Below are 18,476 nucleotides of genomic sequence, written 5' to 3' on the forward strand. Positions count from 1 at the left end.
TTCTCCACATCCTCTCCAGCACCTGTTGTTTCCTGACTTTTGAATGATTGCCATTCAAACTGGTGTGAGATGGTATCTCATAGTGGTTTTGATTTGCATTTCTCTGATGGCCAGTGATGGTGAGCATTTTTTCATGTGTTTTTTGGCTGCATAAATGTCTTCTTTTGAGAAGTGTCTGTTCATGTCCTTCACCCACTTTTTGATGGGGTTGTTTGTTTTTTTCTTGTAAATTTGTTTGAGTTCATTGTAGATTCTGGATATTAGCCCTTTGTCAGATGAGTAGGTTGTGAAAATTTTCTCCCATTTTGTAGGTTGCCTGTTCACTCTGATGGTAGTTTCTTTTGCTGTGCAGAAGCTCCTTAGTTTAATTAGATCCCATTTGTCAATTTTGTCTTCTGTTGCCATTGCTTTTGGTGTTTTGGACATGAAGTCCTTGCCCATGCCTGTGTCCTGAATGGTAATGCCTAGGTTTTCTTCTAGGGTTTTTTATGGTTTTAGGTCTAACGTTTAAATCTTTAATCCATCTTGAATTGATTTTTGTATAAGGTGTAAGGAAGGGATCCAGTTTCAGCTTCCTACATACGGCTAGCCAGTTTTCCCAGCACCATTTATTAAATAGGGAATCCTTTCCCCATTGCTTGTTTTTCTCAGGTTTGTCAAAGATCAGATAGTTGTAGGTATGCGGCGTTATTTCTGAGGGCTCTGTTCTGTTCCATTGATCTATATCTCTGTTTTGGTACCAGTACCATGCTGTTTTGGTTACTGTAGCCTTGTAGTATAGTTTGAAGTCAGGTAGTGTGATTCCTCCAGCTTTGTTCTTTTGGCTTAGGATTGACTTGGCAATGCAGGCTCTTTTTTGGTTCCATATGAACTTTAAAGTAGTTTTTTCCAATTCTGTGAAGAAAGTCATTGGTAGCTTGATGGGGCTGGCATTGAATCTGTAAATTACCTTGGGCAGTATGGCCATTTTCACGATATTGATTCTTCCTACCCATGAGCATGGAATGTTCTTCCATTTGTTTGTATCCTCGTTTATTTCCTTGAGCAGTGGTTTGTAGTTCTCCTTGAAGAGGTCCTTCACGTCCCTTGTAAGTTGGATTCCTAGGTATTTTATTCTCTTTGAAGCAATTGTGAATGGGAGTTCACTCATGATTTGGCTCTCTGTTTGTCTGTTGTTAGTGTTTAAGAATGCTTGTGATTTTTGTACATTGATTTTGTATCCTGAGACTTTGCTGAAGTTGCTTATCAGCTTAAGGAGATTTTGGGCTGAGACAATGGGGTTTTCTAGATATACAATCATGTCGTCTGCAAACAGGGACAATTTGACTTCCTCTTTTCCTAATTGAATACCCTTTGTTTCCTTCTCCTGCCTAATTAATTGCCCTGGCCAGAACTTCCAACACTATGTTGAATAGGAGTGGTGAGAGAGGGCATCCCTGTCTTGTGCCAGTTTTCAAAGGGAATGCTTCCAGTTTTTGCCCATTCAGTATGATATTGGCTGTGGGTTTGTCATAGATAGCTCTTATTATTTTGAAATACGTCCCATCAATACCTAATTTATTGAGAGTTTTTAGCATGAAGGGTTGTTGAATTTTGTCAAAGGCTTTTTCTGCATCTATTGAGATAATCATGTGGTTTTTGTCTTTGGCTCTGTTTATATGCTGGATTACATTTATTGATTTGCGTATATTGAACCAGCCTTGCATCCCAGGGATGAAGCCCACTTGATCATGGTGGATAAGCTTTTTGATGTGCTGCTGGATTCGTTTTGCCAGTATTTTATTGAGGATTTTTGCATCAATGTTCATCAAGGATATTGGTCTAAAATTCTCTTTTTTGGTTGTGTCTCTGCCCGGCTTTGGTATCAGAATGATGCTGGCCTCATAAAATGAGTTAGGGAGGATTCCCTCTTTTTCTATTGATTGGAATAGTTTCAGAAGGAATGGTACCAGTTCCTCCTTGTACCTCTGGTAGAATTCGGCTGTGAATCCTTCTGGTCCTGGACTCTTTTTGGTTGGTAAACTATTGATTATTGCCACAATTTCAGCTCCTGTTATTGGTCTATTCAGAGATTCAACTTCTTCCTGGTTTAGTCTTGGGAGAGTGTATGTGTCGAGGAATGTATCCATTTCTTCTAGATTTTCTAGTTTATTTGCGTAGAGGTGTTTGTAGTATTCTCTGATGGTAGTTTGTATTTCTGTGGGATCGGTGGTGATATCCCCTTTATCATTTTTTATTGCGTCTATTTGATTCTTCTCTTTTCTTCTTTATTAGTCTTGCTAGCAGTCTATCAATTTTGTTGATCCTTTCAAAAAACCAGCTCCTGGATTCATTGATTTTTTGAAGGGTTTTTTGTGTCTCTATTTCCTTTAGTTCTGCTCTGATTTTAGTTATTTCTTGCCTTCTGCTAGCTTTTGAATGTGTTTGCTCTTGCTTTTCTAGTTCTTTTAATTGTGATGTTAGGGTGTCAATTTTGGATCTTTCCTGCTTTCTCTTGTGGGCATTTAGTGCTATAAATTTCCCTCTACACACTGCTTTGAATGCGTCCCAGAGATTCTGGTATGTTGTGTCTTTGTTCTCATTGGTTTCAAAGAACATCTTTATTTCTGCCTTCATTTCATTATGTATCCAGTAGTCATTCAGGAGCTGGTTGTTCAGTTTCCATGTAGTTGAGCGGCTTTGAGTGGGATTCTTAATCCTGAGTTCTAGTTTGATTGCACTGTGGTCTGAGAGATAGTTTGTTATAATTTCTGTTCTTTTACGTTTGTTGAGGAGAGCTTTACTTCCAACTATGTGGTCAATTTTGGAATAGGTGTGGTGTGGTGCTGAAAAAAATGTATATTCTGTTGATTTGGGGTGGAGAGTTCTGTAGATGTCTATTAGGTTTGCTTGGTGCAGAGCTGAGTTCAATTCCTGGGTATCCTTGTTGACTTTCTGTCTCGTTGATCTGTCTAATGTTGACAGTGGGGTGTTAAAGTCTCCCATTATTAATGTGTGGGAGTCTAAGTCTCTTTGTAGGTCACTGAGGACTTGCTTTATGAATCTGGGTGCTCCTGTATTGGGTGCATATATATTTAGGATAGTTAGCTGTTCTTGTTGAATTGATCCCTTTACCATTATGTAATGGCCTTCTTTGTCTCTTTTGATCTTTGTTGGTTTAAAGTCTGTTTTATCAGAGACTAGGATTGCAACCCCTGCCTTTTTTTGTTTTCCATTGGCTTGGTAGATCTTCCTCCATCCTTTTATTTTGAGCCTATGTGTGTCTCTGCACGTGAGATGGGTTTCCTGAATACAGCACACTGATGGATCTTGACTCTTTATCCAATTTGCCAGTCTGTGTCTTTTATTTGGAGAATTTAGTCCATTTATATTTAAAGTTAATATTGTTATGTGTGAATTTGATCCTGTCATTATGATGTTAGCTGGTTATTTTGCTCGTTAGTTGATGCAGTTTCTTCCTAGTCTCGATGGTCTTTACATTTTGGCATGATTTTGCAGCGGCTGGTACAGGTTGTTCCTTTCCATGTTTAGTGCTTCCTTCAGGAGCTCTTTTAGGGCAGGCCTGGTGGTGACAAAATCTCTCAGCATTTGCTTGTCTATAAAGTATTTTATTTCTCCTTCACTTATGAAGCTTAGTTTGGCTGGATATGAAATTCTGGGTTGAAAATTCTTTTCTTTAAGAATGTTGAATATTGGCCCCCACTCTCTTCTGGCTTGTAGGGTTTCTGCCGAGAGATCTGCTCTTAGTCTGATGGGCTTCCCTTTGAGGGTAACCCGACCTTTCTCTCTGGCTGCCCTTAACATTTTTTCCTTCATTTCAACTTTGGTGAATCTGACAATTATGTGTCTTGGAGTTTCTCTTCTCGAGGAGTATCTTTGTGGCGTTCTCTGTATTTCCTGAATCTGAACGTTGGCCTGCCTTGCTAGATTGGGGAAGTTCTCCTGGATAATATCCTGCAGAGTGTTTTCCAACTTGGTTCCATTCTCCCCATCACTTTCAGGTACACCAATCAGACGTAGATTTGGTCTTTTCACATAGTCCCATATTTCTTGGAGGCTTTGCTCATTTCTTTTTATTCTTTTTTCTCTAAACTTCCCTTCTCGCTTCATTTCATTCATTTCATCTTCCATCGCTGATACCCTTTCTTCCAGTTGATCGTATCGGCTCCTGAGGCTTCTGCATTCTTCACGTAGTTCTCGAGCCTTGGTTTTCAGCTCCATCAGCTCCTTTAAGCACTTCTCTGTATTGGTTATTCTAGTTATACATTCTTCTAAATTTTTTTCAAAGTTTTCAACTTCTTTGCCTTTGGTTTGAATGTCCTCCCGTAGCTCAGAGTAATTTGATCGTCTGAAGCCTTCTTCTCTCAGCTCGTCAAAGTCATTCTCCATCCAGCTTTGTTCTGTTGCTGGTGAGGAACTGCGTTCCTTTGGAGGAGGAGAGATGCTCTGCGTTTTAGAGTTTCCAGTTTTTCTGTTCTGTTTTTTCCCCATCTTTGTGGTTTTATCTACTTTTGGTCTTTGATGATGGTGATGTACAGATGGGTTTTCGGTGTGGATGTCCTTTCTGTTTGTTAGTTTTCCTTCTAACAGACAGGACCCTCAGCTGCAGGTCTGTTGGAATACCCTGCCGTGTGAGGTGTCAGTGTGCCCCTGCTGGGGGGTGCCTCCCAGTTAGGCTGCTTGGGGGTCAGGGGTCAGGGACCCACTTGAGGAGGCAGTCTGCCGGTTCTCAGATCTCCATCTGCGTGCTGGGAGAACCACTGCTCTCTTCAAAGCTGTCAGACAGGGACATTTAAGTCTGCAGAGGTTACTGCTGTCTTTTGTTTGTCTGTGCCCTGCCCCCAGAGGTGGAGCCTACAGAGGCAGGCAGGCCTCCTTGAGCTGTGGTGGGCTCCACCCAGTTTGAGCTTCCTGGCTGCTTTGTTTACCTAATCAAGCCTGGGCAATGGCGGGCGCCCCTCCCCCAGCCTCGCTGCCGCCTTGCAGTTTGATCTCAGACTGCTGTCCTAGCAATCAGCGAGATTCCGTGGGCATAGGACCCTCCGAGCCAGGTGTGGGATATAGTCTCGTGGTGCGCCGTTTTTTAAGCCAGTCTGAAAAGCGCAATATTTGGGTGGGAGTGACCCGATTTTCCAGGTGCGTCCATCACCCCTTTCTTTGACTCGGAAAGGGAACTAACTCCCTGACCCCTTGCGCTTCCCAGGTGAGGCAATGCCTCGCCCTGCTTCAGCTCGCGCAGGGTGCGCGCACCCACTGACCTGCGCCCACTGTCTGGCACTCCCTAGTGAGATGAACCCGGTACCTCAGATGGAAATGCAGAAATCACCCGTCTTCTGCGTCGCTCATGCTGGGAGCTGTAGACCGGAGCTGTTCCTGTTTGGCCATCTTGGCTCCTCCCTCATGTCTTTCAAGAGAGAAGAAGATGGCCTGCCCAAGCTGTGGGATGTTTAGGGCGTGCTCTGCAGGGTGGAGATGGGCTTTTAGGCCTGAGAGACCCCACCAGGATCTCCTGGTAGCACTGATGTGACTGAGCTTCAGAAACAGGGGATGATGACCAGCAACGGTGGCCCAGCCGCCATGCTCCCTGTGATTGAGAGGCAGTGCTGAGCCCAGAGGTGGTGGCGTGAGGTGTGGGGTGCAGCCTTCATTCTGTTCCACAGCCACAAGGTCCTGAGGCTGACCTTGCCTATGACTGGCATAAGCCTTGACTTTCCTGCAATGGTACAATGACCGACTTCTGTAAGGAGGCAGTGATGGGGTAGTAGTCAGAGCCTGGAGTCCGGAGTTCCAAGCCCAGCTGACCCGCAAATGCTGCATGAATTGGGCAAGACACGGAACCTGGTGGAGCATCACCATTTCCTCACTGGAAACACAGTGGGGGTGGAGGGTAATAACTGCACTTCACTTGTAGGGTTGTTGCAGGGATTAAATGAGTTAATATTTGCAAAGCACTTAGAACAATCGCTGGTACCTAGTAAACACTCAATAAATGTATAACCATCTCCTGAGTGTTGGTTGTGTGCCAAGAGCAGTGCTAGGATATTCCTATGTAGAGAATTATTTAAGCCTTGCAGTAGCCCTGAGGGTGGTACTATTTCCATTTTACAGATGAGGAAACTGAGTTTGAGATATGTAACATCTTGAGATCAGGCACAGTTACCCAGTATAGCTGCTGGACGAGTGTGCAGGAAACTTGGCTCGCGTTATTTGAAATCCTTAAGGATCACACTTTCAAGACTTAATATTAGGCTCAGAAAGTGTCTTTGGGTCCTCTTACTGGAGCAGGTGCCAACTTCATCGTTGACCTGCCTGTGTCTTCAGGCATGAGCAGGTGGGCCACCTGCTGCTGCAGGGAGGGAATCAAAGGGGCTGCAGGGAACAGTGTGAGATTGGAGCCAAAGGCAGATCCTGACATCGGTTGGGGAAACATGGGCTCAAGCCAGCTCAGAAAAAAGAGATCATTGTTTTTCCATCAAAGGTTCTTTTGATTTAAAGCACCACAGCAGCACGGAGGATTGGGGAAGTACTAAGTTTGTCCTGCAAAGGATAAACGGCAGTGCTCAGAAGGCTGCCAGGACATGCCATGTGCTTCTTCCCAGGTCTCGCAGCGTTGGCAGGAACACACAGGCTCGGTGTGGCTTGGTTCTCTCACTGCTAACCAGGCTGTGCAGCTGCAGCACGTGAGGCTTTAGTTAAAGAGTAACTGGTGAGAAAGAGGAGGACTGAGCTCATAAACTTTTATTTAAGGGAGATTGAAGACTGCTCAGATGACTGTTTTGTAGAGCAGAAATCTGCATGTATCTGTCAGAATGGTGCTGAAAACCAGGTTCCTGCCAACGGGAGTGTCCACTGCATCCTGTGTTTTGCTAGATGCTTTTTAGGCACTGCCTCTGGTCCCTAGTGGGTAAGGTAGACTGCATATATGAGAGCACTGAGGCTCAGAGGGGTGACGGGACTCTGCCAAGACCCTGCAGTGGTGAGCTATTGAGATGGAAAGTCACCATCAGAACTCATTTGCAAAGACCCTAACAGTTACCAAAACTGCCTCAGCACACATCTAATTTTGATCGAACTAGATTCAAATGGGACTGAAAGGTCCCTTTAAAGAAATTTCGGAGCATGAATTGAGCTGGTCCTAACTGCAGCAAATGAGTCGTTCTTTAAGAAATGACACTGATGTATAAAGTGTGACTGACATTCATAAGCTGGGAGATGGACAGCCTGCCTTGCGAAAGCTTCCATAGTCTTTCCCTTTTAATAGCATGCTCCTATCATACAGGAAGACATGGATTTGATGAATAAGGTTCCTTGTCTGAGGTAGACTCAGACAATTTAGCCAGCATTCCACATTGTCATCTGCTCACTCCCGCCTTCTCAGCTTTGAAGTGGTCTAGCTGAGCCCACCCCCAGCCCACCCTAAACTTCTCTCACATTGACCTTCCCCACAAATATCAGCAATATCCTTTCCCTCTAACATTCTGCGTGCTTGACATCCCACCTCCTCTTAGAAGTCTGGCTTCCTCTTCTCAGCCCACTATGCTGAGGTTGCCAGATAAAATACAGGATGCCTAGGTATATTTCAATTTTAGATTAACAGTAAATTTAAAAAAATTTCTTGTAAGTACATCCCAAATAACATAATATGGCCCATGCAATATTTTGGACACACTTATAATAAAAATTATTCTTTGTTCGTCTGAAGTTCAAATTTAACTGAATGTCCTGTCTTTTTATTTGCTAAATCCAGTAACCCCACTGTGGGCTCTTTTTCCTTTAACTCTTATAGCATTTAATTGTCTGACTCATTCAGTTTTACTTTGGGTTATCGTGTCTGTCCTCTCTCCCTTGCTGGGCTATCGGCACCCAGAAACCAGGGCCCTGGCTCTCCACGGGACCCCATGGCATGCCTTCTACATAGCACATGGTCAAAAATATGTTTAAGTAGTAAGCCAGTTACATATGTATATACACACACACATATAATTAGGTTGGTGCAAAAGTAATTGTGGTTTTTGCCACTACTTTCAATGGCTTCATTGCCTGTGCTAGACTGGTGGCTTTTTGAGAGTACTTCCATATCCCAGCACTATTGAGGTTTGGGCTGGGCACAGAGCAGAGCTTAGAAGACGGCTGTTTACTTGTCTTTTCTGAAACACACCTCCAACATACATCTTAACACGTTGCCCTTTCTGAGTGTTTTTGGACTATTCGCTTTGCCCACATCCCCAAAACAAAATAAAGCAATGAAAAACTAAGCAAAACTAAATTAAACTGATCTGAATGGAACTAAACCAAACCAAATTAAACTAAACAGCTACAGGTAGATAGCCTTAGTGGAAAGAATATTCTAGTGGGTCTTGGCATGCACTTGGCATGTGCTGAGGGCAGCGTGGCCCAGAGAGCTTGGGTTTAGCTAAGTCTAGCATTGTGTCAAATGGGTGAAATAAACACAAGCCTAGCATTGGGTCAAATGGGTGAAATCAACTAAGTTTATTTATGTAATAAACAAACACAACCACACTATGACATTTTTCAGAGTTCAGGAAATTCTATTTATTTAACATTTTTCTAATTCAGAACTGATCATGATCCCCCAAAAAGGCAGGACCAGAGTTCCCCTTTGCATTCCTTTGAACAAAACATTGACCATACAAAGTAAGAATATACACAACACTGTCAAGGTGGGCTTAACCTATTTAAAAGAACAAATTGCTTTTGCTTTCAAACAAACGAATGCTGCTAATGTGAAATGTTTTACTCATTAAACCTGGACCAGCGAGTGCCTGCTTAGTAAGACAGAATGAGCATCCAGGGCAGGAGGTAACCTGAGCTTGTGGGAGCAATTAGGTACACTTTCACGTGGCCAGCATTCAGATGTTCTCTCCCCTCTGAAGACTGAGCTGTGAGAATGTAGAGTCCATAGGCCTTTTGTGGGAGAAGCTGGAGGTTCATCCAATTCAACTTTTGCCTGAGATAGGGCCATGATGTGCGGTCATGGGGATCCCCTTCCAATACCTTGCAATAGTGTGGGGCGCAGCCCTCCTGTGGATGCCTGGTCTGTCCTCTGTCTTCTCTGGCACAAGACAGCCCCTCAAATATCTGCAGGCAGCTTTTAGGGGCCATCTGAGCCTTTGATTATTTGCCAAAGCAGAAATGTCTGCAGGAAGCAAGGTCTAAAGAAGAGAGGGCTGTGTCATTCTCATGCCTCCTCTCCCATCTCCTTGGACTTTCTGAAGGGAAGATGGAGTAAGGTGGGCATGACTCCTTTCCCCTGAATTTGTGTTTGCAAGAGATGCCTTGATAGCTGTTTGAGGTGGGAACTGGGGGTGAGGCGTGGTTAGTGATAGAGGAGGGTTGGTAAACTGTCTTCCATTGGGTGGGTCTTGTTTAGGCAAGTGCAGAAGTAGGAGGTAGCTGGGGAGGGTAGGAGTTCTTTGAACAATGCAGGGAAGAGGAGTTTGAAATCAGGGGTGGAGACATCAGAGAGGGAGGAGACAGGAAACCTGGGGTTCACACGGGAGCAGACACGCAGCTCTCTGCAGGGAGGGGTGGCCCAAGATGGACTTTGAGAACAGAAAACATCCATTGTCAAACTGGGGGCAAAGTGATTGGTTCAAAAACACTCAGATGGCCAGGAGTGGTGGCTCATGCCTGTAACTCCAGCACTTTGGGAGGCCAAGGCAGGAGAATCATGTGAGGCCAGGAGTTTGTGACCAGCCTGGGCAACATAGCGAGACTGTCTGTACAAAAATAAAAGACCCCAAACAAACAAAAGCACACACACACAGAGCCAGAAACATCCCTTATGAGCTTCATGTCTGTTCACTGCTTCTCTCCCTTCCCTGATTCAGGAAGGAAAGGCCCATGAGCCAGCTGATGCATTGTAGAGGGTTGTGTGGTGTGCCGTGGTAACTGGCTCCCCTTCCTGGAGGGTAGCAGGCTCCACCCCACTCAAAGGACCCTGTTGGAGGCTGAGTCTTGGCAGAGGGGGCTGTTCCCCAACCCTTTTCTCCTTTGTCCTCCAGAAGGGGAACAGCTCTTGCTAAAGGTGTTACTGCTTTGCTTGGCACTCATCGCCCCCCTCAGTTATGTTCAAGTCAAGCACTTTTTCAACTGTGAGCAAGTATGCAGATGGTTCGAAACAGAAGCCTGTCATGTGCTTTATATTCATGAAAACTACAGAGCAAACATTTGAAAGCCAAGCCATCTTGGAGTAATTTGCATTTTAATTAATACTTCAAATGAATTGCTGTTTTGAAAAAATTCCTGTTTCTGGCTTTTGGATCTTGAAGAGCAAAGACCAGGTATCAAAGTCCCTGCTCCAGCAGGCTGTGGTTGCCTTTGGCCCCTGTCTTGGCTGGCTTGGGCGTTCTGATGCTAGGAGCGAGGATTGGGATTTGGTTGCCTGCCAATTGTTCCTTAGGGAGGGGGCTGAACACACTTACTTAGAAAAATTATGTATTAGAGTTGCTATCTAAATGATGGTTGAAGGGGAATAGAGGTCACGCGTAAAAAAAGACAGTTGTCAAAATTCCTCATGCTATTTAAAGGTGGCCTGATCATTTTATCTTTTTTGTAATCCTTCCAAACTTTAAAAAGCACGTATATACATAATAATGAACATATACAGATTTATGTTTTTTTTTAAATATAGATAGGGGAACTTTGCTCTTCAACTTGTACATACTGATCTAAAATTTGCTTCTTTTTTGTTTTTAAAACTCAGGTGTTGAGAAACTTGACCTGTGGGCCAATTCCAGCCCAAAGCCTGTTTTTTTTTTTTCTTTTTTTAATATACTTTTGTTTTAGATTCAAGGGTACATATGCAGGTTTGTTACATGCGTAAATTACATGTTGCAGGGGTTTGATGTACAGATTATTTAGTCGCCCAGGTAATAAGCATGGTGCCCGGTAGGTTAGTTTTTCGACACTCATCCTCCTTTCACCCAGCCAACCTCAAGCAGGCCCTGGTGTCTATTGTTCCCTTCTTTGCATCCGTCTGTACTCAGTGTTTAGCTCTCAGTTATAAGTGAGAACATGTGGTGTTTTGTTTCTGTTCCTATGTTAGTTCACTTAGGACAAAGATGTCTAGATCCATCCATGTTGCTGCAAAGGATATGACCTTGTTCTCTTTTATGGCTGGGTAATATTCCACATTTTCTTTATCCAGTCTACTATTGATGGGCTTCTAGGTTGATTCCATGTCTTTGTTATTGTGAATAGTGCTGCAATGAACATATGTGCACATGTGTTTTTATGGTAGAAAAATTTATATTCCTTGGGGTATATGCCTAGTAATGGGATTTCTGGGTCATGTCAGAGAAAAGAGAGAAGGGAGAGTTGGTGTAGGCTGGAGTGCACATAAAGACTTCATGGAGGGGAAGGAACCTGGTCTGGGCAGGAAGAAATGGTAAGATTAACAGAAGAGAGGCCATCCCATGCGAGTGAAGTAGGGCCTGGCTTCTGTCTTCCCTGCAGCCCAGCTGCACCCCACATGCCCATGACACAGGGAAGGCAAGTTCAGTTTTTGTAAGTAGTTTAGATGCTGAAGTTTTTCTTTCAGCAAGTGCAGACTAGGCTGGTGGGGGCTGAGGACACACTGATGGATGTGGAGGCTAAACTGCTGTGGGGGGGTGGGGGGGGGTTGGCAGGATGGTTAATAGTGGTAGAGAGGAAGTGCCACAACAGCCACATTTCTGTGCAATGGAGGAAAATCTGTTCTTGGCTAAGGCTGTCACCAAGAAGGCGCTCTTCCCGTCACACAGCCAGGGCGTCCCCTTTTTGCTGGTCTTGGGTGGGAAAAATGTAGCTCAAAGGAGAAGAAGGTGGAAGATGGTGTTAAGGAAAAAATTATTCAACAACATTTTTTGTTTGTTTGTTTGTTTTTGAGACAGAGTCTCGCTCTGTCCCCCAGGCTGGAGTGCAGTGGCATAGTCTTGGCTCACTTCAACCTCCGTCTCCTGGGCTCAAGCAATTCTCCTGCCTCAGCCTCCTGAGTAGCTGGGATTACAGGCCCGCACTACCACGCCTGGCTAATTTTTGTATTTTTTAAAGTAGAGACAGGGTTTCACCATGTTGGCCAGGCTGGTCTTGAACTCCTGACCTCAGGTAATCTGCCCGCCTCAGCCTCCCAAAATACTGGGATTACAGGCGTAAGCCACTGTGCCTGGCTGACAACACTTGTTAAAGCACAGTAAAGAAGACGTTATTCAAGATATCACAATAGGAAAAGGGACCACCACAATGGGATTTTGCCACAGGGAAGAGAGACTGGGCTCAACTCCAAATACAGCACTCACACGTGAGGTTTATAGCCAAGGAGCAAGTTGGGAGGAAGTGGATGGAAAATTGCTAAGAGGAAACCTCAAGGGTAAGGGAGATTCTGGCTAAACGGACCTAACAGGATCCTTGCTGAAGATGGGCCAGGGTGACCAGACATCACCTGGAGGATGGTGGAGGATGAAGAGCCTGGTCAGATATGGAGGGTGATCAGGTATCAAGGGTAGGGGGATTCTTACAAAACTGACTTGGGGCCAGGTGCGGTGGCTCACACCTGTAATCCCAGCACTTTGGGAGGCCGAGACGAGCGGATCACGAGGTCAGGAGATCGAGACCATCCTGGCTAACACGGTGAAACCCCGTCTCTACTAAAAATACAACAAAAATTAGCCGGGTGTGGTCGTGGGCGCCTGTAGTCCCAGGAACTCAGGAGGCTGAGGCAGGAGAATGGCGTGAACCTGGGAGGCGGAGCTTGCAGTGAGCTGAGATCACGCCACTACACTCCAGCCTGGGCGACAGAGCGAGACTCTGTCTCAAAAACAAAAAACAAAAAACAAAAAACTGACCTGGCAGGGTTCTTGCTGAAGCTGGATTTTTACAAGGAGGTGCACATACGGACCTAGGAGAAGGCTGAGAGCCTGACTAAAGTTTGGTTAAGCAAAGACTCTTTGTCAATGGTCACTGACCAGGGAGCTTCAGAGCCCTTAGGCTGGAAGTCGGTACAGGGGCCCAGAGCACACATGGGGAGGGATATGCTTCTCGCCGGGGTAGGTTATTTGCACAGACGCAGAGCACCAGAGGGAAGGAACCTCCTTAGGAACTATACAAAATCAGGAACGACAGCATTTATTGAGTGCTTATGAGGCACTGGTAATGTTCTGAGCATTTTACAAATTAACTCATTGTATTAGTCAGGGTTTCCAGAGAAAACAGAAACAATAGCATAAATATAGATAAAGATATAACAGGAGATTTGTTATGGGAATTGGGTCATGCGATTATGAAGGCTGAGAAGTTTCACAATATGCTATCTGCAAGCTGGAGGGCCAGGAAAGATCATGGTATAATTCAGTCTCAGGCCAAAGGCCTGACTGAGTACCAGGAGCTCCAATGTCCAAGGGCAGGAGAAGATGGATGGCCCAGTTCAAGCAGAGGGAGCACCATTGCCCTTCCTCCACCTTCTTGCTCTATCTGGGTCCTCCAAGGACTGGATGATGCCTGCCCATGCCGGGGAGGGTGGCTCTGCTTTGCTTAGTCCCCTAATGCAAATGCTCATCTCTTCTGGAAACAGCCTTGCAGACACACCGAGGCTCTATTCTATTCTGGCATCCCTTTACCTAGTCAAGTTGACACCTAAAATTAACCATTACACTCATCTAGCTCCATGACAATTCTATTAGTATCATTTCTCTTTATTAGGTGAGGAAGATAAGGCGTAGAGCAGTTATGTAAAATATGCAACATCCTTGCATCTTAGACACATTGACTACCAACCTATGCGCTAAGTGAGGGGCTTTCTCTGAACTTTTGGATTCCCTGGGCCACACTGGAAAAACAATTGTCTTGAGCCACACATAAAATACACTAGCACTAATGATAGCTGTTGAGCTAAAAAAATAACAAAAAAATCTTGCAATGTTTTATGAAAATTTATGAATTTGTGTTGGGCGGCTTCAAAGCTGTCCTGGGCCGCATGGGGCAAGCAGGCCACAGGTTGAAGAAGCTTGTGCTGAGTAAACTACTTTGTTATATTAGCACTGGCCAGCTGTGTGTCCTTGGGGAAGTTTCTTAACCTTTCTGTGCCTCCATTTGTTCATTACAAAGTAGTTGTTGTACTGGTTCTTTATAGGGGAGGTGTGCAGATTAAGCAAGATGTGCATGCAAAACCCTTGCATGGGGCCTGACTCTCCCCAAAAGTCAGTTGTTATTATTTCTCCTATGCCATCTACCTAAGTGAAGTCTGAGAATTACAGAAGAAGAGGCTGAGGATTTTTCATATATAGGTTCTAACTGTGCAGGCTGGCATGGGAACAGGTCGGGTGGGAAGCACCCCAGCAGAATCTGAGGGCTACCAGCAGCCTCAGTCTGGATGAGAACTGAGCCCATGATTTAACAGAGAATGCTTCACTATTCTCTGAAGAGGAAGAACCAGCAGGCGACCCAGGGACCCTGGGGATGGTCATTTCTAGGGTGTCGTATCATAATGGTGAATTTAACTCTCCAAGATTCTCCTCCTTCCAGGTGGTATGTGTTCAGTCATTTTCAACAAATCCTTTTATTGCCCTCATGAAATTGTGGACTAAATACTACCTCCAGGCATGGTTGCAGAGAGCTAGCTGGACAGGAGGGACCTGCCTCACTGTTGCAGGTGCCCAGTGCGAGTGGCCAGGGAGGCAGCGGCCCTGATTGCGTTGGTACCAGACCTGACTCTGCATCAGAATCAGCTGAGGGGTGGCTGGCATGCAGCCCGGGACCACCTGGGGACTCTGATTCTGCAGGCATGAGGGTCAGGAGTGAGTGTGCAGGGCCTACAAACATCACAGGTAATCTGGGCTTGTGGTCTTCACACCCGGCTCTGAGAAACTGTCTTGGACAGGAGACTGCCTCGGAAAGGCAAATTATCCTCAGTGTGCTACAAGACATTCTACAGCTGAAGTGTACCTGTGAATATGTCTGTTGGAATCCTTCCCAAGAGATATACCAGCTCTATAAAGACACACGCATCTTTAGGTGTAACCAATGACATTTCCCTGCAGAAACAGATGTATTACCAGGTTCCAACTTCCTGCTGCTTTGAGTCCTTGTCTTGAAAAGAAGTTCAATTGGAATTTTAAGACATAAATATTTGGCATACATTCTTCTCATCAATTGAATTCTCTCTGCAAATGGTTCTCCCTGAGTCAAAGCCTTCAAAAGTCCTTCAAAAGAAGTACTGTAGTCAGGGTTAGCTTGCTCATTCTTTAGAATCCTCCAGGGGTGAATACGTGGGCTGGATTCAGTTATGACACGTTATGGGCGAGTCATTTGAGGAATGTGGGAACATAGTTTTGACATTTTAAGCACTGATAACATTTGAAATCAAGGCGGATAACGACTTTTATTAATTACCCCGTCTCCTCCTGCTCTTCTGGCCTCTGCCCCTCACCAGCTGTTAAACATTTGAGAAAATGGTAAATGAACATGGTTATAAGCAATTATGAGTTTTTCTTTTTTAAGGGACAGATGGAATCAAGGTTTCTATTTTAAGAGGTTTTCAAATTTAGGTTATGTCTACACCATGCCACGTTATTACAAGAGAACCATATGTTTTCTTTCAGTGTCACTGAAACTTCATTCTAGAATGGGCCTGGATCCACAGTCAGTGCTGTGTATGGGAGCAAGTTCATAGATGCTTCACTTGTACAGAATACTTTGCAATAATTCCACCTTTTCCCACCTTTCCCCCCATTTTTAATAGTGAGGCAAGGAGGAGAGATGAAGGAGCTGCTTCTTGGGGAAAGAGCAGGGCCTTGCAAGGTGCATGTTGTTGCTGCGCACTTCATCAGTCATGGTGTGTGCAAACTGGCAGCCTCATCACAAATCATTGCCAGAATCCAGTGTCCCATCTATCTTCATTCAGTTAAGCCTCCTTGTGAATAGGTCCTCAAAGAGATTGGGTTCATGGTGGAACAATACGGACGACATACTCCTTGTTCAACTTGGAACCAGAGCAGCAGCCAAAAATGGTTGGCTCTCGCGACGACAGTCCCCCGGACTGAGCTGAACCTCCATGGCTGGTGTGTGGCTATTGCCCTCTTTTACACGGGCAGCTCTGTCTTCCAACCTGGCAGATGTCTAATGTCTTCAAATAAGCCTTAATGAAATGCCCAGCAGGTGCCACTAATGGTTTTGACCCCAAGAAAAAGAAATGCGAGTTGAGTGGTAGGGATTTAAAAGCAATAATCGTAGAACAAGTATTCCTAGGCTTTTCTTTGCAAGCCAGTTTGACTGTGGCCCAGGGTTATCGTGGGTTGGTGACAGGAGTTGGCTGGGACAGGCATGGTGCAAACAGAGCAGGTTGTGGTTGCAGTTCTGCGGGGCCCCTGCTCCACCAACTGCTGTTTTTTGCCCCATCCCCATCTGCATGGGGCCTGGAAAGGCAATGACATTATCGTACTGAGCTTTGGCGTTCGCAGCCATAATGTTGTGGTTGTGTTTTGTATGCATGTAGGAAGCTGCCTGGATGTTGTTTTAATTTTCTTAAGGCACTTGGATTTTTTAAAAACTCCTTTTTGTAGCAAAGGTAGCATGGCATTTTTAGTTAATGAGCTTGTACCCTTTATCTTGTCCTGCTCTAAGGTAATTGGATCTGCTTATAAAATATAGGCTCTTAATTGCTATTCTTAAAAGGCCATCTTGCTAGGAAGGGTCTGGTTAAGTAATGGCTTTTTAAATTAATAGTAAGCAAGGCAGCTACTCGACTCCTTCCACTGAGACAAAGAGGAACCTGACCTCTTGAGAGACCCAAGGAGACTCTCAAGGCTTTAAGAGTAAAGAAAAGCACAGGGCTTGTAGTCAGATCGCCCTGGCAAAGAATCTTGCTTCCACTGTGTAGCAATGAGTAAGACACTCACCTGCAAGTCATAACTTCCTCGTGTTTAAGGTGGGAGTGATAATACCCACCTTACTGGGTTGCTACAGTGATTAGAGATAGTTTGTAAAGCATCTGGCATGGTTCATAGCCTGTGGTAGTTAGGTGGCATTCATTACTAGTTGGCTGTGATTCCACAGAGCCTGCCCTTGGGGAGAGTGACATGGGTCCTAGAACAAGGAGCTATAAACCAAGGAACCATCGTGGGCTGTCTGGAGACAAGCAGGGGGAACAGCACATCATGGCTCAGTATTTGTGTTCCTACATTTCTCAGACTGTCTGTTCAAGCATTTTGAATAATACACAGCTATAGAAACCAGAGATAATAAAGCTTTAGCGATGGCTCCTTCTCTGGAGACCTTCCAGGATAGGTAACTCCCACTGCCCTCCCTGGAGGGATTTGCTTACATTCCAATTTTAAAAACAGATCTCTCTCTGTAATGGAGAATGGAAGTTACCAGCAGCCCTATCTAAGATCAGGGTTTTGCCATTTTGGGGTTCCTGTCCTGTGACATGCAGGCGCCATTGGACCTCACCATGTCACCTTGTGGAGGTTGGGGTTTTAGAAAAACTGATGCTAGCAACTGCTCCAGCTGCTGCTTTTGCTGTGAATAATACATGGTCTTTGTCTCTGATCCAGGTGTCTTGTGTCTTCTGTCACTATATGTGTATAAAATGGTGGCAGGTTAACTTATTAGCCTACGAAGCAGGATACCATCTCAGGCCCTTCTCAGTTTCTGATTAAACACTTTAACACTTGGTTCTGGTTCTGGAAAGCAAATAATTCTCCCTACCCTGAAGGGTTGTTGTTAGGACTAGAAGGACAGGAATATACGTAAAAATATACTACTATTTTTATATAGTAGTATATTTATACTACTATTTTACGTATAAGAATATACATAAAAAGGCCAGGCGTAGTGGCTCACGCCTGTAATCCCAGCACTTTTGGGAGGCCGAGACGGGTGGATCATGAGGTCAGGAGATCGAGACCATCCTGGCTAACCCGGTGAAACCCCGTCTCTACTGAAAATACAAAAAAATTAGCTGGGCGTGGTGGCAGGCGCCTGTAGTCCCAGCTACTCGGGAGGCTGAGGCAGGAGAATGGTGTGAACCTGGGAGGCAGAGCTTGCAGTGAGCTGAGATCGCACCACTGCACTCCAGCCTGGGCGACAGAGCGAGACTCTGTCTCAAAAAAAAAAAAAAAACATAAAAAATATAGACATAGTGGTAGATGGGTAGATACATAGATAGATAAAAAGAGTGATGCCTGGTACATACCTGGCTCTCAAAAGATGATGGTTTGATAGCCAGTTATTATTGCATCTGCTGAGACTATTGTGTGGCAATTGCATATGCAAATGAGGATGAGATGACACTGAGAGAGGTGGAAGATGCATGGGAAGCAACATGGGCTGGGAGACCCGGTCTACCCGCAGGGAGCTGCATCCAGTAGGCAGAGGGAGCAATGGAAAAGTGCAGCAGCAGCACAGCCTTGCTCAGCTTTCAGCTGGGCAGTCCTGACAGCGTGTAGGGGAGAAAGGAAAGAACAGTGTGGGTGGAGGCT

General features: G+C 44.9%; 1 long non-coding RNA gene across 8 annotated transcripts in view, besides 2 other annotated features; it reads left to right on the top strand.

Moving 5' to 3' along the window:
- Nucleotides 1–18,476, top strand: part of LOC105373592 (uncharacterized) — a 530,486-nt gene that overhangs the window by 110,856 nt on the left and 401,154 nt on the right. The window lies entirely within an intron of this gene.
- Nucleotides 4,640–5,198: an enhancer, noted in NCBI's record as "NANOG-H3K27ac-H3K4me1 hESC enhancer chr2:122775524-122776082 (GRCh37/hg19 assembly coordinates)". NCBI's record gives its function as "activates a minimal SCP1, AML or CMV promoter by ChIP-STARR-seq in naive and primed H9 embryonic stem cells {active_cell/tissue: H9 hESC(naive and primed)}" and the evidence as "EXISTENCE:reporter gene assay evidence [ECO:0000049][PMID:30033119]".
- Nucleotides 14,522–15,721: an enhancer, noted in NCBI's record as "CDK7 strongly-dependent group 2 enhancer chr2:122785406-122786605 (GRCh37/hg19 assembly coordinates)". NCBI's record gives its function as "activates an origin of replication core promoter dependent on BRD2, BRD4, P300/CBP, MED14 and CDK7 cofactors, with strong dependence on CDK7, by STARR-seq in HCT116 cells {active_cell/tissue: HCT116}" and the evidence as "EXISTENCE:reporter gene assay evidence [ECO:0000049][PMID:35650434]".

Source organism: Homo sapiens, chromosome 2 (assembly GCF_000001405.40).
Source record: "Homo sapiens chromosome 2, GRCh38.p14 Primary Assembly".
Lineage (NCBI taxonomy): Eukaryota > Metazoa > Chordata > Mammalia > Primates > Hominidae > Homo > Homo sapiens.